The sequence below is a fragment of the Homo sapiens genome, chromosome 13 (genome assembly GCF_000001405.40).
Source record: "Homo sapiens chromosome 13, GRCh38.p14 Primary Assembly".
In the NCBI taxonomy this organism is placed as follows: domain Eukaryota; kingdom Metazoa; phylum Chordata; class Mammalia; order Primates; family Hominidae; genus Homo; species Homo sapiens.
This window is the reverse complement of record NC_000013.11, coordinates 52,455,411-52,480,017: the sequence shown is the minus strand read 5'-3', so window position 1 is coordinate 52,480,017 and position 24,607 is coordinate 52,455,411. Positions and strand designations below refer to the sequence as shown.

The 24,607-nt window shown below is 39.3% G+C and overlaps 1 protein-coding gene across 6 annotated transcripts; it reads right to left on the bottom strand.

Annotated features, from left to right (window-relative positions):
- Positions 1 to 3,390: 3,390 nt before the first annotated feature.
- Positions 3,391 to 24,540, bottom strand: CKAP2 (cytoskeleton associated protein 2). Of its 6 annotated transcripts, none has more exons than NM_001098525.3 (9): positions 24,392 to 24,540; positions 23,411 to 23,495; positions 19,044 to 19,122; positions 18,092 to 18,960; positions 17,451 to 17,655; positions 14,553 to 14,723; positions 11,671 to 11,740; positions 5,934 to 6,189; positions 3,391 to 5,123 (listed from the first exon to the last, which is right to left on the bottom strand). In NM_001098525.3, the coding sequence occupies exons 1-9, from the start codon at positions 24,459 to 24,461 to the stop codon at positions 4,877 to 4,879; spliced, it is 2,052 nt and encodes a 683-aa protein (NP_001091995.1). In that variant the 5' UTR covers positions 24,462 to 24,540; the 3' UTR covers positions 3,391 to 4,876. The 6 variants fall into 6 exon arrangements, with proteins under 6 accessions (NP_001091995.1, NP_060674.3, XP_005266401.1 ...); NM_018204.5 differs by having other exon boundaries at positions 19,044 to 19,119; XM_005266344.5 differs by lacking the exon at positions 24,392 to 24,540 and adding an exon at positions 23,839 to 24,030.
- Between the last annotated feature and the right edge of the window lie 67 nt (positions 24,541 to 24,607).

Here is a 24,607-nt window from a genome sequence, read left to right as displayed (position 1 = left end):
TGGTAAAGTTTATAAATTGGTTGCCAAAGCAGAGTATGGCTGATACTTTAGTTCCACTTTTCTGTTTAATCTCAGAACTCAGGTTATTCCTCTCCTCATTTTAGTTAAGGAAACTGAAGCCTGAAGGATTAAACGCCTCATAAAGTCCATAGAGGCCAAGAGACAATAACTCGGGCTTCTTGGTGGGTGACAAGCTACACTCTGCCACCACACTTAGATGGCATCTCCCTTTCTGCACTGAATAGCAACCGCCCAATCCTGGGCCACCGAGAAAGTGTCTTAGGAACATGTTAAATGAGAATTTCATGTTAAATGTGAGGTAATGATGAAGAGTAGTATTTTTATTGTTCAACTTAATAAACCAGAATAAAAATTCTGTGCCAAGAAAAAAGTTCAAGAAGATGGTTAGAATGAAGTTTATTCCCTCCTGGGGCTCACAGATGCTTGAGGAAGAGAGACATGTGAAAACCAATTCCTGCAAATGCAATCAGTGCTGTAATGAGGTACTTGTAGGAGAGGACACAGAGGAAGCTTCTGTTTCTGCCTGGGGATATCAGGGAAGACCTGAGTAGGAGCTCACCAGATAGACAAAGCATGGAACAGCATCTCTGCATTGGGAACAGCATGTACAAAGTACACTGGGAACAGCATGTACAGAGGAGATAAGAACGAGTGTGGCTTCTTTAAAGAATTATAAGTAGTCCATACCATATGCAGAATATTTGTGTCAGGGTAAAAGATGTGACAGATCTTGAAGGGCCTTCCATACTGTGCCAAGAAGTTTGGATGATTTCTGCAGACAGCTGAGAATCACAAAAATGGGGACTCTTTAAGGGGAGAAGCATGAACAGGTTGGCATTTTTAAATGAACGCTCTGGCTGCCACGTGTGGGATGAATTAGAGGAAGGCAAGACAAGGAGGCAAGGGAATTTTAGAAAATTAATGAAACAGGACAAGCAAGAAATGATAAGGCGGTGCAATGGGTATAGAGCGAGCCAGGATAACACGGACAGTTTGATGTCCTACTGCTTCAGAGTGCTGGTGAAAGGAAGAAGTTCAAGGTGACTCTTAAGTTTCTGACTTGGGGAATCAGTTGTGTGTTGGTGCTTAACCTAAATACAGAGCAGTTTGGGGAGGAAAAAAGTGTGTTGGGATTCAACATGGGAGGGCCATTTCAATGATGGAAGGAGCAAAGTCAAGAGCTGGAAATATATGCTTGAGAATTCTCATCTTGTGGATGGTATTCGAATCCCCAAGTGTAGATAAGCTTGTCTGGAAAAGCATAGAGTAGGAAGAGAAAGATAACAAGGACAACACCAGAATGGCCAATATTTAAGAGTAAGAAGAAAAGAAGCTGGCAAAGGGAAATAAGAAAGTGGTATGAAAACAGGAGGAACCCAAGAGAGAGTGTGGTCATGGAAGTTCACAGAAGCAAGTGTCAAGTGTCCCTGAGAAGTCAAGGAGGACATGGAAAAGGACACAATGAATCTGGAGATAAGAAAATGCATTTATTTGTCCAAGTCAGTGAATATGCATGAAGCACCCATTAGGTGCATCTCCTATTCAAGGCACTGGGGATAAAGCAGTGAACAAAATAGAAAATAAAAATCCTGGCCGGGCGCGGTGGCTCACGCCTGTAATCTCAGCACTTTGGGAGACCGAGGCGGGCAGATCATGAGTTCAAGAGATCGAGACCATCCTGGATAACACGGTGAAACCACGTCTCTGCTAAAAATACCCAAAATTAGCCGGGTATGGTGGTGGGTGCCTGTAGTCCCAGCTACTCAGGAGGCTGAGGCAGGAGAATGGCGTGAACCCGGGAGGCAGAGCTTGCAGTGAGCCGAGATCATGCCACTGCACTCCAACCTGGGCCACAGAGCAAGATTGCATATCAAAAAAAGAAAAAGGAATGAAAATCCCTGCCCTCTAGGATTAGATTCTAGTCGGGAACACAGACAATGAGCAAATAAATACGTGAATATTTAATTGAATAAGTGCTCTGAGGAAAAATAAATCAGGTAAGGAGGATATGGAATTAGGGTTGGGAGAGGTATGAATCTAATGTAATAGAGTGATAAAAGGTTTCAGTGAGCAAGTGCAAAGGCCATGTAATTAAACTGATTTTTCTGGAATGTGTTTCAATCTAGGGAAAGCAAAAGCTAGACTGCAATTAATTGAAGAGTGAATGGAAAAGAGGAAGAAAATTGCTAATAAAAGAGGAGCAATGGAGTAGATAACTTCTCCTTCTCCAAGAAGCTTGATGCTAAAGGGAAAGCATGAGTTCCTAAGCACAGGTAGAAGAGGTAAAGAAAAAGTAGGAAAAAAAGGCTTAGAAACAGATAGGTGTGTAGGTTGGAGGATACAAAGCCAGGATGTGAAGTTGCACAGTCTCTCAGAGGCCATCTTTCACTCTTGTCCGTGAGAATATTGCTCCCTAGAGTTGTGAAACAGGTGTTACCAACTCACCCCCTACACTGACTCCATCTTTGCTATAAATTGGAAAGAAAGAACATCTATTCTCAATAGAGCAAGTACAGGCATATCATGGTGGTTTTGACTGGTTGGGATACAGACAATAAACAAACACATATGTAGAATTTATCAAAAAAGCTAATGTCACAATGCAAAGGGAAGTTGAATCTAGGAATAAACAAAATGTTGGCCACATAGCATTGGAAGCTCAGAGGATGGTGGGCCACTCATGGGGCCCTTTACTTACACTGTCTCATTTAGTGTTACCAACAGTCCTGTGGCCGGGTGCGGTGGCTCACGCCTGTAATCCCAGCACTTCGGGAGGCCGAGACGGACAAGAATGGTGGTTTAGAGTTCAGTCCTGTTTCCCCTTACCTGAGGTCCACTTGACAGTGGTTGGCATTTTTATCTGGTATGGATCTGGGTTTCCAAAAAATTCAGCGTCAAGATGTTCTTTCATTACTATAGGAAACGAAACATTTTTTTCCTTATTCCAGGATGTTCAATTTACTTTTTTGAGGCTAGCTAGGTAGCTACCTGGAATTTCCCTTGAAGAGACTCAAGATTTTTCCTTTATTACTATACACGGGAAGATCCAAGCGGGCCCTTAAGAGGGGTCCCTGTTATGTCTCTACTGGATGCTTATGCACGGTATCACATCATTTAGCTTGGAACAAACCTAGGGGAGAGATAACATAGCTGTCCTTAAGCACCAGAAAAGGGGTTAGACCTCTGGTTGAATGTTAGAACTAGGAATATTTAGAGACAGATTTTCCCCTCAGGTAAAGGAGGAAAAAAAACACTCTTAAAAACTTGTCCAAACATAAAAGTTGTATCTTGAGTTCTCTAACAGAGGCATTTCAAACTCTGCTATACAGACAAATGAATTATATGGTACAGATATTAAAAAGCTGAGAGTGTATCAAAGCTTAAATTTTATTTCAAAATGGCATATTTTGGGTCAAAGTATGAAAAAACAAGGGCATAGTTATGTTTTTGTTAAAGTGAAAAAAATTAGGTAAAGTTTATGTAAGTAGACTGATGACTTTTGAAAATATATCATTAAGCATGTACTTAAGTGTCAAAAACCTCAAGTCAAATCTTACAATGTATTTCAAAAGCAAAGCTAAAATTCATTCACTGTGGTTAAACTGCATTTCATAAAATATCTGTTGAAATAAACTTCATTAAAACATAATTACACAGATATTTTAATTGTATATATATCAGGTACACGGAATAAAAGTCCTACTCTCTAGAACATGAGAAGTCAATAAATAGAAAAGATATACAAAGTGGAATGAACATAAAAATGACTAAGCATGTGATCTTCACATTCATACAGTTTTTCAACTAATCTTTTACAATTAAAAAGTCATTTATTTGAAACTGTAGAGTTGATATATGCCATATTAGTTTGGAACCTTACAAAACAACTTTAGTGGTGTTATTTATGTGTGGAGAGAAAACTGTGTATGTAACTATCATGTTTCAAGGGACATGACTTAACAGTGAAGTTTTTTATGTTATAGGGAAGAAAACAAGTATTAGTATCAGTTATCTTAGAAATGCTATCTAAACTAGAATGACATTTGTTCAGTATGATATGTTCTTTCCCTAACTCCATTCTAATTGCTTAAAAACTATCAAGTGAAGTTACAAAAGTTAAACCACTAAATGTGGCATCTTTTCTTACACAAAGTATCTTCTCTTAGAAATGCGGTATTTAATTAAGTAAACCTTCTTGGTGACCCCAGTTATAATCAAAAGAGGCCACGAAACTACAGACTACTGACGAAAAGTGTCAGTGCAGACACTTTCCATCAATCAACAGGCAGTCCAAGGGACGCAAGAGAACACAAGTCTGGGTAACATGAATTTGGTAAGAAAGCAGGCTAAACCTCCTGTGTCTTAGTATTCGAAGTGAGTCATTCTATAGAATTTTTGACTAATCTGAGAAAGGCCAAAAAAAAGAAAAAAGTATTCTGTTTAAAGGCAGGGAGGTACATCATAACTTTTAAAAACATGTCAAGGCAAACATACATTTTACCTAGAATACCTCATTTTCTAATTATGCATCATTACTGTACTTATATTTAGTAAAGTGAACAGGGTAGTATTATAACCTGTTTATATTCAAGGAACATAGTAAACTAGCTGACAAAATTTACCTTTCTTAAAGAAAAAACTCAGTTGGTTGAAACTGACAAGGTAGGATTAGCTTTCCAATGTAGAGGACAACTCTTGCCATAACATGAATGTTAGTAAAGGAGCTCACTGCCGTGAATGCTTAGGATACATAGGTACATGGCCAACTCCAGACCTAAGAGCAATATAAAGCTACTCAAAACAAAACACCCCACAAATAATAAAAACCCCATTCCCTAACAGAGCTTTATTTCTCTTATGTTGTATCAGCCTCATAGTACACCCGGCACAGTGCTGCATTAGGGCGGCATACAAAAGCATCAGTTTCTCTTCCCAACTCCGTTAGCTGTTCCAATGAAGACACACAAGGATAATGATCTTTTAACATATCTGGCAATTTAGAAGTTTTCTCTTGAAGACGTCGAGAACGTCTCACTGGTGTTAAAAACTTCAGCTCTTTAAATGCGGAATTTGTTCCATCAAACTGCACCTTTTTTTTCACACTGAAAATTAAAACAATATTCCAGAGTTCAAAAACATGTTAACATTTTTACTCTGTACTTTCATGATATGTACCATACTATATAGCTTGTATGTTATAAGCAGGTAAAAGCATTTAATTGTCTTTTAGAGAGGTACTATAAGCTCACCGAAGTGAGAAACTTATCCTTTTCTCAATTTGTCATTACAACTTGTATACAGTAGATACCTGAGTATCTGTAGAACTGGCTAATTCCTGAAAGCCAAAACCTACTGTTATTAATAACACACAGATTAAAGTAAATTCAAATAAAAGTTTTCTTTTTCAAAATGGCAATAGTTAGGGAAAGTAAATACAGTATTTAAGAGGTGAAATGTTCTAATGACATTCTATTTGTTTAAAAACTTTTCTGTTTTCTTTTTTGTTTTGAGACAGGGTCTCGCTCTGTCATCCAGGCTGGAGGACAGTGGCATGATCTTGGCTCACTGCAACCTCTGCCTCCTGGGCTCAAGTGATCCTCTCACCTCAGCCTCCCAGGTAGCTGGGACTACAGGCACACAGCACCTTGCCCAGCCAAAATTTTTTTTATTTTTTGTAGAGATGGGGTTTTGCCATGTTGCCCAGGATAGTCTTGAACTCCTGGGCTCAAGTGATCTGTCTGCTTCGGCCTCCCAAAGTGCTGAAATTACAGGCGTGAGCCACCATGCCCGTACTGAAATTTCTATATTAATAAATGGTAGCTGTAATCTGAAGCTATCTCAAAGATTTTTAAATGCCGTTATTTATTATCTCCAAGCATGAAAACAAATCATGGTACATTTTAAAAGTTTACCTTTGCAAGTATGGCGTAGTAGACACATTATATTTAATTAAGCAACTTGTCCTCGTTTCTGTATTGGGGGTTTTAACATCATGGGTTGGATCTTTTGTTTTGTTGTCTTGCTCTTTTTCACAATCTTGAAATAGCAAATTTCTATGAAGTTTACTCTCCATTTCCAGTTTTTCTGGATCTACATCAACACCTGTATCTTCAATACTGACTTCTTTGACTTCTTCCTTGCTTGCACAAGACTTCTCCATATTTTCTCCTATAGAAAATACATTTATAGATTAAGCTTTTGGCTGAATTTTAAGAACAAAATCAGAAGACATTAAAGTTGTTCCTAGTTGGCCACATTTTCAAAATAAAAGAACACGATTGCCATCTCTGAACCATTCCTTTTCCTCAGCAAATACTGCTGCCAACTATATAACAAATACTATTATAAAATGAAATAAATGCTATATATGAAATAAGAACAAAGGATTATTAAAACCCACAAAAAGAAACAACTAACTTTGCCTGTGGTATAGGGAGATGGTTAGGGAATGCTTCACAAGCGAGATTTAGGCTGGGTCTTAAAAATGAGTACTTGATCAAGACCAAGGAAGACAACCTTCATATGGCACATAAAAGAAAATGATCTATTAAATTAACATAACATTAAAGAGCCAGTGTGTTTAGAATATAGGGTAAGGAACAAGGTTAGGAGTGGGAGCAGGAGGTATTGAGCTTAGATAGGTAAACAAGAGCTAGATTGTAATGAGCTTTATATGAAAGAAGTTTGGTAAAAAAAATTCACCAGAGAGCTAGATTGTAATGAGCTTTATATGAAAGAAGTTTGGTAAAAAAAATTCACCAGAGACAGACATAATTAAATTTGGTCAATGTAAAGGACTGTCTAGAATGGCAGAGAATGAAAAGTAACAATCTGTGATGGCAAGAAGACAAGGTTGTTGTAATAGCCTAAGTAAGTTAGGAAGAGATCAGATAGGAAAGGAAGGGTCCAATCTGAGAAATATTTCTGAGAACATTTTTTTTTTTTTTTTAGAGACAGGGTGTCTGCCGTTCTGTCACCTAGGATGGAGTGCAGTGGCATAATCTTAGCTCACTGCAGCCTCAACTTCCCAGGTTCAAGTGATCCTCCTGCCAAAGCCTCCCAAGTAGCTGGGCCTAAAGGTGTGTACCACCATACCCAGCTAATTTTTACTTTTTGTAGAGATGGGGTCTCACTATGTTGCCAAGGATGGTCTCGAATTCTAGACCTCAAGCGATTCTTCCACCTTGGACTTCTGGTGTTGGGATTATAGGCGTGAGCCACCACACCCACCCAAGTCAGAACTTATTAACAAATGAATACATGACTGTGTAGGAATGAGTGTGCAAATGTATTAGGAGCGTCTTATCCAACATTTCTTAAGAGTCATAAATGCCAGAGAAGAGTTTTTTCTTTTCTTTTTTGGGAGAAAGGGATGTTGGGTATGGGAAAGGGATACTGGGCATGGGAAAGCAGTGAGGGCAGACAAAGAGTTCAAAATAAAACATGTTAGGCTGGAAATACTTGTGAGACATCCTGGTGAATCCATTGAGCTGGAAAAAAAAACCTCTGAATTTAATTATTAGGAAAATTATTAAAAATTTTTACTAAGAGAAGTTTTAGTTGCATGATAGTGACTGAGTTTTAAGTGGAAGCTGAAGGAGAGAAAAGAATATAGATTAATTCAACAAATATTTAAGTGCCAAATATGTGTCAGGCATTGCATTAGCACAGGAGACTCAATGGTCAGGAACATCAGACACTGTCCTTATCTACTGAGTTTACATATGCAAAAGACAGGACAAACAACTACATAGTACAATCAAATGCATCAAATATTGCATAGGGAAAAAAACAGGGAGCACAAAACAGGTGCACTAAACCTAGGTTGAGAGGAGAGGGGATGGTATATCAGGGAAATCATCAGGGAAGGCTACTCCAAGGAACTAACATTTGAATTGAAGTCTAAAGGATAAGCAGAAATTAAGAAAAAGTAGAAGATTGTCTTGGAGAGACCTGGAGGGAAAAGAGAGTAAAAACCTTTCAGGAAATGGAAAAAAAGAAAGAGAAATTCAGGGATGTAGGGGAGAGGGAAAGAGAAGAGGCTGGACTCAGGAATTTATGCAGATGAGTGACAGAACATTTTGGTTGCAGTGTTGAGAATGGATTGGAATGAAGAGCAGAGAGGCAGGAAACTTAAGTTTGAAGACCACTGTTATAGTCTAGGTAAGCGTGTAGGTCATCTTGACTATACAAAGGAGAGTAGGAATGGAGTGAAGTAGATAGATCTTAAGAAATACTTAGGAAGTTAAACTGAATTTGATTAGCTGGGGAAAAAAGGTTGGGAACTGGGAAAGAAAGAAGGAGTAAACAATCACACCAAGATTCTGACCTGGACAACCAAACAAGGCCATTCATTAAGACAGAGAACTAAAAGAATAATCAGGTTTAGGGGAAAATTATGTGTTCAAGTTTGGCTATTTGTGTTTCAGGTAGCTATGAAACACCCACGTGGTGCTTGTTTCTTATTATTTGTCCTTTTTTTTTTTTTAACCCTCTTCTGAACTACTTCGACCACTTATGTTCTTTTGCTGTTCACAAATAACTGATTTGTGAAATTGGTTTTATATCCAGAACTTACAATTATACATTTCAGAAAGCCAAGAGTTTATGGATACCTCCTTCCCCCATCTAAAGACTAATGATACCTGCTAGAAAACACCAACTAGTACTATCCTATAAGATAGGAAGAGCAACTTAATCAGAATACTGCTTTTATCTTTCCACATATCTCCAGAAATAGAATTATGAGAGATCTTTTTATGAAATTTGAATTTCCACGTCGCTGTCTTTTGTGAATAAGAGACAGGACTGGGTTATTCTTTTTTTTTATTTTTCTTTTTGACACGGAGTCTCACTCTGTCACCAGGCTGGAGTGCAGTGGTGCGATCTTGGCTCACTGCAACCTCCACTTCCCGGGTTCAAGAGATTCTCCTGCCTCAGCCCCCCGAGTAGCTGGGATTACAGGCACATGCTACCATGCCCAGCTAATTTTTGTATTTTTAGTGGAGACGGGGTTTCACCATGTTGGCCAGGATGGTCTCGATCTCTTGACTTCGTGATCCACCCGCCTAGGCCTCCCAAAGTGCTGGGATTACAGGCGTGAGCCACCATGCCCGGCCAGGACTGGGTTATTCTTAAACTTTTCTCCTCCTTTTGTTTGTGGTACACTAATCTTTCCTCGGTTTTCCCTTCTCTCCCTCCTTCTCAAGCTCCTTCACTAAATACTACTAGTAAGATCAGATCATATAGATGTTCTGTATGTTCCCTTGGTACATATTAGCAGTCACCATAAATTGAAATAATCCATGATGAACTAAGCATGCTGCCATTAGAAGCATGACCTCCAACACAGCCATTAGCATATTAACCCCAATGAACAAGTTTTTTTTTTCAGTTAATACATGTAATCAAAAGCTTACATAACATACTTAATTTAGAACTTTAGTATGCTCTTTGATTTTTTTTTAAGGTTTAGCCCTTCAACCTAGATCTCTACATCTTAAATTAATTTTGCATACTAAAAAGGTACTAATACTGTTCTGGAAAGCAATCTGGCAGCATGTATCAGGAGACTTTAAAAGTTCAAACTGTTGGCCGGGTGCGGTGGCTCACACCTGTCATCCCAGCACTTTGGAAGGCCAAGGTGGGCGGATCACCTGAGGTCAGGAGTTCAAGACCAGCCTGCCTAACATGGCAAAACCCCATCTCTACTAAAAATACAAAATTAGCCGGGCAAGGTGGCGCATGCCTGTAATCCCAGCTACTCAGGAGGCTGAGGCGGGAGAATCGCTTGAACCCAGGAGGCGGAGGTTGCAGTGAGCCGAGATTGCGCCACTGAACTCCAGCCTGGGCAACAGAGCAAGACTCTTTCAAAAAAAAAAAAAAGAAAAAGTTCAAACTGTTTGACTCTTGTTAAAATTAATCAAAAGAAAATAACTAGATATATAGGCGATGGTATATAATATGCACTCAAATATTTGTTGACTGTATAATATACAGTTACAGCAAATAATTGAAAACCATTTTTCTAAAGTTAATTAATATTAATGACTACAGTTTAATGACTTTACTATGTGTCATAGACTATGATACTTTATAAATATTATTTCACGGTGGCTCACGCCTGTAATCCCAGCACTTTGGAAGGCCGAGGCGGGTGGATCATGAGGTCAGGAGATCGAGACCATCCTGGCTAACAAGGTGAAACCCCGTCTCTACTAAAAATACAAAAAATTAGCCGGGCGCGGTGGCGGGCGCCTGTAGTCCCAGCTACTCGGGAGGCTGAGGCAGGAGAATGGCGTGAACCCGGGAGGCGGAGCTTGCAGTGAGCCGAGATTGCGCCACTGCAGTCCGCAGTCTGGCCTGGGCGACAGAGCGAGACTCCGTCTCAAAAAAAAAATAAATAAATAAATAAATAAATATTATTTCATTCAATGGTCCCAAAAAATCTGTATTTTACAGATAAGAGGGTATTTTTTGCCTAAAATCATATCAACTGGCATAAACTTTATCTGAATCTTAAAATGTTTTTATGACTGGCAACTAATGAATCTCTTATCTCCATCTACTATCCCCAGCAAAGAGAATTCTTAAATGAGCTTTTCTAGCCAACACAACAGATCACAGAATTTAACAGGTGAAAAGTCTGGATATCTAGTCAAACTGCCTCATTTTAAGGCAGACAAAGCCTAGAGAGACAATGCAACTTTCACAGACATTCAGTGACAAATCTAAATATTGAGCCAGATCTCCTAATTAAAAATTCTTTATACTACATAAAGCCACTTTATCTCAGAGGCAGGTCAACAGAAGTATGAGGAAAGAAACCTACATATTTTAAAAATTTAAAAAGATAAAAGAAAAACTAATTCAGCAAAGAAACAATAAAACTACAATTCACAATGAAATACCATCTCACACCAGTCAGAATGGCTATCCTTAAAAGGCCAAAGAAATAGCAGATGCTGGCAGGGTTGTGGAGAAAAAGGAATGCGTTTACATTGTTGGTGGGAGTATAAATTAGTTCAACCATTGTGGAAGACAGTGTGGCGATTCCTCAAAGACCTAGAGACAGAAATACTTTCAATCCAGTAATCCCATTACTGGGTATATACCCAAAGGAATATAAATCATTCTATTATAAAGATCCATGCACGCATATGTTTATTGCAGCACTAGTCACAATAGCAAAGACATAGAATCAATCCAGATGCCCATCAATGATAGACTGGATAAAGAAAATGTACATATACACCATGGAATACTATGCAGCTATAAAAAGGAATGAGATCATGTCCTTTGCAGGAACATGGATGGAGCTGGAGGCCATTATCCTTCGCAAACACAGGAACAGAAAACTAAATACTGCATGTGGGAGTTAAGTGATGAGAACACATGGACAGCTAAAGAACAACACACACTGGGGCACATGGGTTGGAGGAGGGAGAGGATCAGGAAAAATAATGGATACTAGGCTTAATACCTGGGTGATAAAATAATCTGTACAACAAACCCCCATGACACACATTTACCTTTGTAACAAACCTGCACATCCTGCACACGTACTCCTGATCTTAAAATAAAAGTTAAAAAACAACAACAAAAAAAAACTACAGTTCACATGAAGGAAATAAAATAACTAAAACTTACCTAAATTAGCTTTTTCTTGACTCTTCATTGTTAGAATATCTACAATCGTGTGTCGCATCTCTTCAATAGGCTTAATTTTTTTAATGAAGAAAGCAGATCCATGTAAGTTTTATTTTCTCTGACATTAACTAGGTATCCAAGTCGCGATTAAATTTTCATACTGTATTTTAAAGTAAGAGTGGCTCTTAAACCATGCTTCTCAGACCACTTACAATTAAGATTGAAAAATGGCTGTCTTGGCTGGGCACGATGGCTCACGCCTGTAATCCCAGCACTTTGGGAGGCCTAGACGGGCAGATCACGAGGTCAGGAGATCAAGACCATCCTGGCTAACACGGTGAAACCCCGTCTCTACTAAAAACACAAAAAAATGAGCCGGGCGTGGTGGCAGGCGCCTGTAGTCCCAGTTACTCGGGAGGCTGAGGCAGGAGAATGGCGTGAACCCAGGAAGCGGAGCTTGCAGTGAGCCGAGATCATGCCACTGCACTCTAGCCTGGGCGAGAGAGTGAGACTCCATCTCAAAAAAAAAAAACAAAAACAAAAACAAAAAAACCAAAAACGAAAAATGGCTGTCTTTTCCAATTTATAGAGTAAAAATGAAGGATAGAATTTCTTTTCCTTTTTTTTCTTTTTTCTTTTTTTGAGACAGTCTCCCTCTATTGCCAGGATGGAATGCAGTGGTGCGATCTCGGCTCATTGTAACCTCAGCCTCCCAGGTTCAAATGATTCTCTTGCCTCAGCCTCTCGAGTAGCTGGGATTACGGGTGGGCACCACCATGCCCAGCTAATTTTTTGTATTTTTAGTAGAGGCAGAGTTTCACCATGCTGGCCAGGCTTGCTTGAACTCCTGACCTCATGATTTGCCGGCCTCCCAAAGTGCTGGGATTACAGGTGTGAGCCACCACGCCTGGCCTAGAATTTCATATTTTAAAACTTCCTCCATAATTTTACTTAAGTCTTGCTCCTTTTCTCTTACATTTAAGTCTATGGTTATATTTTTGTTTCATATGCTATGAAATGTATCTCTGAAGAGCTAAGGTTGATCATCTCAACATACTTCATTCATTCAAAAATTTACAAAAAATTACTAAGTGACCATTATTTACCTAAGCATTTGCTATGTTCCACCCAACACAATCAAGATTAGGGAAGGTGTAATTCACAGTCTTAGTTCCAGAACTGAGTCCTGAATTACTCAGCTATCCTGCTTTCAGTTTTCTTGGCTAATTTTTTTTTTTTTTTTTTTTGAGACAGGGTGTTGCTCTGTTGACTCAGGATGGAGTTCAGTGGCATAATCATGGCTCACTAGTCTTGAACCCCAGAGCTCAAGCAATTCTCCCACTTCAGCTTCCCGTATAGCTGTGACCACAACTGTCTACCACCAAAAAAAAAACTTTAAAAATTTTATTTTTTGCAGAGATGGGGGGTCTCACCCTCTTGCCCAGGCTGGTCTTGAACTCTTGGACTCAAACGATCCTCCCGCCTCGGCTTCCCAACGTGTTGGGATTACAGCCGTGAACCATCATGCCTGGCCACTAATTTTAAGAGATGGGGTCTATGTTGCCCAGGCTGGACTCAAACTCCTGGGCTCAGGCAATCCTCCCACCTTGGCCTCCCAAGTAGTTGAGACTATAGGTATCCACTACTGTGCCCAGCCATGTTGGCTAATTTTGATTCTTGTTTTCCAGCAGCTTTTCCTCTGGTGTTACATCTTGCTGTTTACATTATTGCTTTCTATGTGAGCCTTGGCTCCAGTTTTGCATCCTTGCTACAATGTCCTTAGCTGCCTTAAGTAATGTCCCTTCTGATACAATGTAGTAGGGGCCTAACACTCCCCTCCAGGTAGCATTCTGTCAAATATAATTACCATTCTAGAAAGTTTTACACATGACAGCCACTGACAGACTATCTGCTGAATATCTGATTTTTTATTTAAGTGAAAAGTCAAATAGCGTTCGTTGATTTTGTTGAGACAAAGGTGAATAGATCTTTCTTAAAAGGGAGTTTTAAAAAATTATCTATGTAAACAATCTCCAAGAATGTGTTTCTGAGAAACCTGGTCAAAAGGAAACATATTTGAAGAACATGTATCCATAAAAACAAAAACCCAACCAAACAAAAAACTCAAGAAATGATTTATTCTATACCCAAAACTTTGTGTATCAATACGCTAGAAGAGATAAGGAGTATGGTATCGAGGCACTATAGAGGTAATAATGTTAGAGAAACCGGTTTATTGCCATTTTCTGTATGCAGAAAGGACCAATATATACAGTGTATACATATTATATATATATGTGTGTGTGTATATATGTGTATATGTGTATATATGTGTATGTGTGTATATATATGTGTGCATATATGTGTGCATATATGTGTGTATATATGTGTGCATATATATGTGTATATATATGTGTGTATATATATGTGTGTATATATATACATATATGAGTACATTCGGGTTTACTCTTAAAGAGTTCTCACACAAAACCAAGAGAGCTTGATAACATTTAAAAAGCGAATTTAATCCCTTTTGCTTTATATTCAATAAACAAATTTTAATATTACATTCAGTCTCCCAGTAAACTTCCAACCAGGAAATGCATACAATAATATGCTAAAACATTTCATGCAGAAAGTTTCATTAAATATACATTTCAGCTTATATCCATTTTCTAAAATCTGATTATTCCCAATACAGGAATAAAAGACTTAGAAAGCCAACAAACAGCTTTTATAATGCAATCCTTGCAGCCTTTAAACATTTATTACCACTACATATACAAAGAAAATTTTCTCAAGTTATGTTGTGATGTGTTTCAAATTAATTCCGAATTGTCTACTACACTGTAATTGTAAAGATCAGTAAATTTTTATCTTACCTGAGCCCCTGCCAGAATGGCTTTCTCATAGATTGCAATAATATTTTCAATAGGACTTGTGATTGGTTCAATAAGTGCAAGACATATCCAATACTTAACAAGCTTTTTGGCATCTGGAATATTTTTAATCAGGTCATTCAGTGTGACCAGTATATCTTCTTTTGGACATCCCTAAAAAAGCAAGAAAAAATGTGTGTAATATTTTTTAGCTTACAAAGTGGGAACAATAATTGAGCCTACTATAGTCAAGATCAATGATAACGATAGCCCTAAGCATAAAGCAAAAAAATGAAACATTAGTTGAGAAATTTATTAGTAAAAAATGAACACTTATTTGATCTTGATTTTATCCTCATATATATTGTGGGATTCCATTTGTTAATACCTTCTACCAAATGTTTATGAGTAAGAATAGTCTGCGGAGTTTTTTTTCCTCGTCTTTATCAGGTTTTGATATTAAGATTAAAATGAATCTGTAATGGTTTATGTCACAGTTACATATAATTAAATAATAGGGCAGAAAAAGTTCATAGTATCAAAAGGAAAAACTTAAACTGAGCAGAAATAAACTCTAATTCTATTCTATTAGAGACTCAAGAGTTTTCCTGATTGTAACTTTTACTGGTGTTCAGAACCACAAGAAGTTAAAAGATGCTCATGAAGAGTAAAGTTTGAAATCATACCTTGAATTCAGTTTTGCTGTGGATCTTACACACTAGTGGGTGACCAAAACAAGATTAAAGAGCAGTCAGGAAACAAAGATATTATCTATTATTAAACAGAATATTGTTCTGGAGCTGATTATTATACTCCATAGGATTTTGGTCCAAATAGCAAAATTCTGCAATAAATTCAAAAACATGATGATGTTGGCTTAGATGAATGGGATTGTTTTTTTTTTTTTTTTTTTTTGAGACGGAGTTTTGCTCTTGTTGCCCAGGCTGGAGTGCAACGGCACAATCTCGGCTCACTGCAACCTCTGCCTCCCAGGTTCAAGCGATTCTCCAGCCTCAGCCTTCTGAGTAGCTGAGATTACAGGCACCCGCCTCCATGCCCAGCTAATTTTTGTATTTTTAGTAGAGACAGAGTTTTACCATGTTGGCCAGGCTGGTCTCAAACTCCTGACCTTGGGTGATCCGCCCGCCTTGGCCTCCCAAAGTGCTGGGATTACAGGCGTGAGCCACCCCACCTGACCAGATGAATGGGATTTTTTTTTTGAGTATTTTAGGTAACTTAATCTGTGATAATAATGACTCACACAGTATTTGTGTTGCTAGTCTTTGGTAAAATGTGTAATGAACGTAAAAAATAATGTGTAAATATAATGAATAGATGTAAGAAACAAAATATTAGAAGCAGTAAGTAAATATCACCTCAGTGTATTACATATTAATTAGCTCAGAGAAATCAAATATTTGTAATTCAGTAAAAAAACCCAATTATCCCTTTGATACAGGTTGAGTATCCCTAATCTGAAAATCCAAAATCTGAAATCCAAAACTTTTGAGTATCAACATCACAATGCAGATGACCATCATTAACACTGCAGAAAATGTACCTACAGGCGACAAGGTGAAAGTATGCAACAGGCTTACTGAAGAACTAGAGCAGCATTTATCCAGAACAGAAAAAGAAATCATGTCCCTTTATAAAATCAAAGAGAAACTTCTAAGACAAAAACCATTGCTAATGAGGCAGATGACTCTGAAGTAAATATCTTAAAAAGCCACCCAGCAGAATGCCTCCTTATCCCTAGAGAACCCACTTCCTGGTCCCTCAACTGCTTCTGGTGTTTCTTCTCACCTAAAAAAATAAAACACGGTGTAAAATACCTCTTAATTAAACACAACATCATAGATGGAGATTGAAAACGTGCTGCTGTTTGTTGTTGCTATTGTCTAACAGCTGATACAGGCGTTCTGATGATGCTACTGTGCTGCTTAATTACTCTGAACATATTTTTCACTGTATTAATGTGTCTTTTTTTAAACTGTTAATTAATTATGTGTGAATAAATGTAAGAGAATAATTGCTTATTGGTAGCATGGAAATTCAGAGTGAGGAATGATGGTGTTGCCAAACAACCAGACTGTCCCATGGGTGGCTGACAAAGTGACACCTTTGCTTTCTAATGGTTCAATGTATACAAACTTTGCTTCATGCACAAAACTATAAAAAGTATTCTATCTTTAGGCTACGTGTATAAGCTGTATATAAAACATGAATGAGGCCGAGCGCAGTGGCTCACACCTGTAATCCCAGCACTTTGGGAGGCCGAGGTGGGTGGATCACATGAGGTCAGGAGTTTGAGACCAGCCTGACCAACATGGTGAAACCCTGTCTCTACTAAAAATACAAAAAATTAGCCAGGCGTGTGGTGCACACTTGTAATCCCAGCTACTCTGGAGGCTGAGGCAGGAGAAGGGCTTCAACCCAGGAGGCAGAGGTTACAGTGAGCTGAGATCACACCACTGCACTCCAGCTTGGGTGAGAGTGACTGTCTCAAAAGCAAACAAACAAACAAAACGTAAATGAACTTTGTGGATCTCATCCCCAAGATAACTCATTATGTATATGCAAATATTCCAAAATCCAACAAAAAACATCTTCAATTACTTCTGGTCCCAAGCATTTTGGATAAGGGATACTCAACCTGTATATTTATATGAACTCAATGCAAAATGTAGTCAGTTAAAGGCTAATAAGCTCACAATTAATGAATGAAGCAGTGTATCTCGCAATTAAATAATTGTTAAAATAACCTCACAGTTAATGTTAAGTCAACATAGTATCACCAACATCACCTGGTCAAAAAGACTGACAATATAATTTAATGAAATAATGCTTATGAAGGTAATTTGCAAACTATAAAATGCTAAGCAAATATAAAGACTCTACCTCATTAATCAAGTTCAGGCATTCAGAAAATGTGTTGTTTACTTTTTCAGTAAATAATCTTTGTTCATCTTCTTCTGCCATGGTAGTCCAAAAAGACCCAACTGGTTTTTCATTTTGTCCTGCAGGCTCATGCTGAGTAACTACTGAATTAGGGGGCCTTTTTAGCACTCTTCCTTTGCCAGCTTTCCACTCACTCAGACGAGCTCTATAGTTAGAAGCAGATATAAACGTTACTTTGAAATTGCTGACAGAACTCTGTCAAATAAAGTTAAAAGAAAAAATCATATTTTTAAGTAATCTTACTTTAATGGCATATATAGTTCACAAGCTTGAAGAAATATTAAACATATCAACGTCAATTATGCTCAATGATTCCATGAATGCATTTTTTGATTTGAGATTATAAAGTATTTCCCAATTATTATTAAGCATTTACCTTAGATTTTAAAAAGCAACCTTATAAAACATACTCAAACACAAAAACTTTTAGGTCATATTGTTCCACAATATAAATTTGCCTGCATATGACAGAAGAGAAACCATGAAAGAAAATTCTAATGCAGTCAAGGAAATTATAATCCAAATCTACAAACAGTACTTTATTGAAAACTAATGTAATAAAGAAAATTATATCTACTTACTTTCTCTCTTCCGAGGTTTCTTTGGGCTGAGCTGATCTACTATCAACAATTGCTTTTCCTGCAGTATGTCTTCGCTGGTCAACGGGCTCTGACTTTTCCATCAGTTTATCATTAGACAATGAAGCAGGCCTGGCTATAACTTCAGATGCTATGGATCTTGATAGAGTCTTATTTCTTATTATACCTTGAGAAGAACTGGTTTTGACACTAGATAAAGCTGTTTTTGATTGTAATAGTTCTTTTTCATGAGGCCCTTTCCGGATTGTAACATTGGCAGAAGTTCTACTGATGCCTTGTTTCACAGTGTCCCGGGTATTACTGTGATGACTTCTAATAGGAGGTCGCACAAGTTGTGTGTTCTGAGATGTAGTGCTCACAAATTTAGTAGTGGCAGTCATATTGGAGGATCTATTACTTTTCACTGTTACACTGCTGGTGTTTACAGGCTGAGGTTTTGTGGCTTTAGGTATAGTGGCTGAAAGTTTCTTTGTTGCTGCAGAACTCTCATCTTTGACTTGTAGAGGTTTTCTAAATGAATTAATCTTAGACTGAACAATCTGGCCACGATAAGATCCAAGCACAGGTTTCTTGGGCATGTTAGCATCTTGCTTTTGTTTTTCTGTAGTCATTTGTTTCTTTTTACTATTGTTTTTAAGGTGAAATGCCTGGCTTAATGTCATATGTTGACTTTGGGGATCATCTTCAGTTAGTAACAAATGCGGAGTTTGATTACTATCCTTAGGTTTATGTGTGTCAATTACTACAGTTGAATTGGTTAGTTCATTTGAAGGTTTTAAAGGAATACAATGTTTCCCCACCACTGTATTATTTTTGCTCTCTGCAGGTCTCTTCATGTTTTCTTTATCAGCCTGAAAGAATTATTTAAGAAAAGTGTTTAGGAAAGGCAAAATGGAAAAGGGGACAGTTTAAGAGTGCTATGTCCACATCTTACCATTTTTGTTTTAAGTTTCAGCACTTTAGTCCCTTCTTGAACTTGGTCCTCAGATGTCACAACTCTCTGATCTCTACTACTTAAAAACAAACAAACAAAATGATCAATCAATCCTGTACCAAGGAGGCTTCCTTTTGGGGAGGAAGAAGAGGGCAATGTTAACAATTAACTGACTTACTAATTTTAAATTTAAAAAAGACCTGAGTTGAAATTTGTCCTAAGCGGCCAGGCGCGGTGGCTCATGCCTGTAATCCCAGCACTTTGGGAGGCCGAGGTGGGCAGATCACGAGGTCAGGAGATCGAGACCATCCTGACTAACACAGTGAAACCCCGTCTCTACTAAAAATACAAAAAATTAGCCGGGCATGGTGGCGGGCGCTTGTAGTCCTGTAGTCCCAGCTACTAGGGAGGCTGAGGAAGGAGAATGGCATGAACCCGGGAGGCGGAGTTCGCAGTGAGCCAAGATCGAGCCACTGCACTCCAGCCTGGGTGACAGAGAGAGACTCTGTCTCAAAAAAAAATAGTGTAAACAAATGGCTGAGGAATTTAAAGATATTTTCTAAAAGTCCTAACACTCTCTGCCCATAGAATTTGTAAATACTTAATAATCTTATTTCAAATCATTCTCAAGTCATTCAAACAAGTCTTCAAATAACCTTTAGTAAGTAATACCTCCTTGGGTTAGTTTTAAGTACTTAGTAACAGATGTACTACATTGAAAATACTTTTATTAAAGAGCCCTCCCAGAAGTGATCCAAAAATTACCATATGCCATTCACAGCTTAATTTATATTAGGATACATTAAGAATATGCACTGCTGGTTGTGGTGGCTCATGCCTGTAATAGCAGCACTTTGGGAGGCCGAGGTGGGGGGATTACTTGAGCTCAGGAGTTCGAGAGCAGCCTGGGCAACACGGCAAAACCCCATCTCTACAAAAAAATAAAAAATTAGTTGGGTGTGGTGGTGGGTGCCATAGTCCCAGCTACTTGGGAGGCTGGGGTGGAGGACTGCTTGAGCCTGGGAGTTGAGGCAGTGGGCCAAGATCCCGTCACTGCACTAGAGGCTGAGTGACACAGAATGAGATCATCTCTCAAAAAAAAGAACGTTAGTTTCTAGGCGGTATTGCAAAGAAAATCCCTCCTCAAGAAACTGACTTAACTTATTTTTACAGCTATAAACTGGCTAAGGCAGACTGTGAGCATCTCTTAGCAAGTGATTTTAACAATTTTGTGTACTATAACGATAGGAAAAAATACGGTCAATTAGACATGCCATTGATTTTAAGACAGATCCTAAGTTCAGAGATCACATTAAAATGCGTGATCTCTCATTCTCTGAAAAAAAAAATGAGGCCAGGAACAGTGGGTCACACCTGTAATCCTAGCACTCTGGGTAGAGAAGGTGGGCAGATCACCTCAGGTCAGGAGTTTGAGACCAGCCTGGCCAACACGGCGAAACCCTGTCTCTACTAAAATCAAAAATATTGGCCAGGCATGGTGGCAAATGCTTGTAATCCCAGCTACCCTGGAGGCTGAGGCAGGAGAATCGCTTGAACCCACGAGGCAGAGGTTGCAGTGAGCTGAGATCGCGCCACTGCACTATAGCCTAGGCGACAGAGCAAGGCTCCGTCTCAAAAAAACAAAACAAAACAAAATATATATATATATATTTTACATTTGACATAATTTAGTAGTTAATAATTTTGCTTACATTGCCTTTCATATCTATTTGTTCTGTCAGCTTGGAGAAGGAACAGAACTTTGACACAACCTGTACTATACATTTTGAACAATGGTGAAGGAAGATCAAAATGTGCCACTTAACAGGGTATCTTAGTAGCTAACTGCCAGCTAACAAAACAAAACTCAGGATGACAAGAAGAACCCATCTTACTCACCTGTCCAGTGGGGAGACTTAATCCTATTCTGTCTTATTATAAAACTGCCCTCAGAAGGGTTATCGGAAATGAGTCTTAGGATATCTATACTTTAGAGATTGTAAAATATAACTGTTTAATTCTGAAAAGCTGCAACACAGGTTGGTTGTCTTATTTAATGATTCACTGCTGAGGTGATAACATTTAAATTGACATCTGTTTTCCTTTTTTTTTTTTTTGAGACAAAGTCTCGCTCTTGTCACCCAGGCTGGAGTGCGATGGCCTGATCTTGGCTCACTGCAACCTCCGCCTCCCAGGTTCAAGCGATTCTTCTGCCTCGGCCCTCCCCGGAATTACAGGCGCCTGACACCACACCCGGCTAATTTTTATATTTTTAGTAGAGACGGGGTTTCACCATGTTGGCCAGGCTGGTCTAGAACTCTTGACCTCAAGTGATACACCCGCCTCAGCCTCCCAAAGTGCTGGGATTACAGGCATGAGCCACTGCACCCAGCCAACATCTGTTTTCTGAAAGGAATAAATGTAGTACTTAAGCCACATGAAGCGTTTTAGAATTTTCTTTTCTTCCTATTAAGAGTATTATAAACCCCTGACCTTGTTGGATTCTTTATTTAAATAAGTGGTTGAGAGTCACTGTCTGAATCCATATTATCTCTACTTATTCCCTAGTAATTTCATTCCATCCTAAGGTTTTTAAGTAAATATCATCTGTATACTAATCAATTCCTGAGTTTATGCTTCCAGCCCCAACCCCTCCCCTGAACTTCAGACACACAATTATTTGGCATATCTGCTTGGATGTCTGGTTGGTACCTCAAACATAGTCAAAACAGAACTCCTAATTCCCCAGCTCCTCCTTCAGGCTTCCTATTTCAGTATACGGTTATCACCATTCATTTACTTATTCAAATAAAAAACCTAGGATCACCTTTTTGTCTTAAACAAAGAAATAAAAGATTTATTTGTGAAGGATAAACTGTTTATTCCAAACTAAAGCAACTTATTAATATAAAGTTAGAAATTATTTTTAAAATTTTAGAATGCCAAACTTACACAAAGTTGCAAAAATATAAACAGGTCAAAGAATATCTGTACACTCTTTACCCAGGATCCACCTATTGTTAAAATTTTTATCCCATTTGCGTTATCATTTCCACTCTCTGAATATGTGTGTGGGTGGTATATACAATTTTGTTTACCTGAGACAATTTTTTTTTTTTTTGAGACGGAGTCTCGCTCTGTCACCCAGGCTGGAGTGCAATGGCACGATCTCGGCTCACTGCAACCTCCATCTCCCAGGTTCAAGCGATTCTCCTGCCTCAGCCTCCCCAGTAGCTGGGATTACAAGCACCCACCACCATGCCTGGCTAATTTTTTGTATTTTTAGTAGAGACGGGGTTTCACTGTGTTAGCCAGGCTGGTCTTGATCTCCTGACCTCGTGATCTGCCCACCTCAGCCTCCTAAAGTGCTGGGATTACAGGTGTAAGCCACAGCACCCAGCCTAAGCCTGTAAGGATGTTATTACTGGTTATCCCTAGAGAGTGAGGGGACCTTTTGCCTTTCTGCTTCATCTACTTTCATGGGTTTTTGTTTTTGCTACAGCTATGTACTATCTAAGATATTTTAACAAAATAATAAAGATATTTCTGTGGAGGGTTGAGACTACAACTAGTAATCTCTAAGCATTTGGGAGGGCCACCCAACCCTTCCCTGATGAACTCCCCCATACACTGAGTAAAAAGCTTTGCTAAATAATAGAAAGACTGACCTTTGTGTGGTGTAAACAGTAAGTTGATAATCTAGTCTATGCACATACTTTGCTTTATAATTGTTTTTTTCTCTTAGACTGTGAATTAATTTACGTAGAAAACGATAATCTAGGCCGGGCGCGGTGGCTCATCCTTGTAATCACAGCACTTTCAGAGGCTGAGGTGGGCGGATCTCAAGGTCAGGAGTCCAAGACCAGCCCGGCCAACATAGTGAAACCCGGTCTCTGTTTAAAATACAAAAATTAGCAGGGAATGGTGGCACTTGCCTGTAGTCAGTCCCAGGTATTTGGGAAGCTGAGGCAGGAGATTCACTTGAACCCAGAAGGTGGAGGCTGCAGTGAGCCAAGATCACGCTACTGCACTCCAACCTGGCAACAGAGTGAGACTCTGTCTCAAAAAAAAAAAAATTAATAAAACGATGATCTAATGCTGCACCATCCAATAAAGTAGCCACTAGCCAATGTGGCTACTGAGTGCTTGAAATGTGGATAGACCAAATGGAAATGTCCTGTAACTGTAAAATAGACACCAGATTTTAAAGACGTTGTACCACAAAAAGACGTAAAATAATATGTAAGCAGTTTTTCTAAATGTGGCTACTAGAAAATTTAAAATTACAGATATGGCTTACTTTACATTTTCATTGGACAGATCTGATACAATTTTACAGAAGTGAAAAGAAATAAACTTGACCTTACCTGGATAACATCTCATTTTCCTGCTTGTATGCAAAAAGCGTTTTTCTTCTCAACAGATGTTCCTTGAGTTTTTGTCTTCTTTGCTCTAGATAACAAAGGTAAGAGCTACAAGTCAATATTAGTTAAAACATCGATAACGGCAAATAAATCTTGTTGACTAAATGAAGAGTTTACTTCCAAAGCTGGTTCCACCTGAGGTCACATCTATATAACAGAAAATTCTCCAATTCAATATTGCCTTTGAGAAATCACCTTAGAAGAGACTGTTACCACAACAGGTCCCCAAAACCCCTCTGCATAAGAATCACATTCTCTACTCCCTGTGAAAAATCTGGAGAACATCATTTTCTACATACAGCTCCTGCTAGCCAAGCTTTAAGAAACTAAATGGTAGAAGTGAGGCACTAGACTCGAAAGTTCTAATTTACCAGAACTGGGTTAGATGAGAATTACTTTCTTCTGCTTTCCCGTGTGTAGAATAAGGGAATAACAATATTAGTTTTGAAGACCCAACCAACCCTCGGTTTCCATAAAGTCGAAGGAGAAGCTGTGAAATTGGAAATAACACATGATGCGACCCCAGCCCTGCAGAAATTCGCTAGGGACCTAAGAGGCGGAGGACCCAGCGCAGGCGCAGTCGGTCCCTGAACCTGTGCAGCCCCGCCCCCAAGCGGACCCAGGGTCTCCGACACCGACCCCGGCCTGAGGCCCGCGCGTTTCCCCTCGCCTAACGGATTCCTTCTTAGGAGGGCCCATCCCAGCCAGCAGCGACCGCACAGTAACACCACGCAGCGGTTCCTGTTTTTATGATCCGTTCCACAAGGCCAAGAATGAGGCAGGGCGAGGCCGACGCCGCGTTCAGGGATCTCACAGAGCGGGGGAGAGGTGAAGCGCGCCAGCGCGGCCCCGAGCCCCGACCGCCGGGCCCGCGCCCGCCACCGCCACCGCCACCGCCACCGCCACCGCCACCGCGGCCTTCACCTTTGAATGCGGACTGCGCCCTCTGACTCGGGGGCAGCTGCAGGTCCTGGGGCACGGCCGGTGTGCTCATCGTAGCCTCGGGTCGGGGGATGCGTCTCCGCTTTAGCGCCAAGATAGAACTTCCTCAGACCACCGCCGCCGCAGTCTGCACCGCGGCTAAGCCGTCAGACGGCGCGGCTGCCGTCTCCGCCCATTGGTTCCTGCGTGAATTGAATA

What these genes read in the sequence shown, in the direction of transcription:
- CKAP2 (NM_001098525.3), bottom strand. Translation starts at nt 24,461, where the DNA reads ATGAGCACACCGGCCGTGCCCCAGGACCTGCAGCTGCCCCCGAGTCAG. An exon ending in GAAAATGAGATGTTATCCAG is followed by an intron (nt 19,123 to 23,410) that starts GTAAGGTCAAGT and finishes TTTGTTTTTAAG; the next exon opens with TAGTAGAGATCAGAGAGTTG. An exon ending in GAAACCTCGGAAGAGAGAAA is followed by an intron (nt 17,656 to 18,091) that starts GTAAGTAGATAT and finishes TTCTAACTATAG; the next exon opens with AGCTCGTCTGAGTGAGTGGA.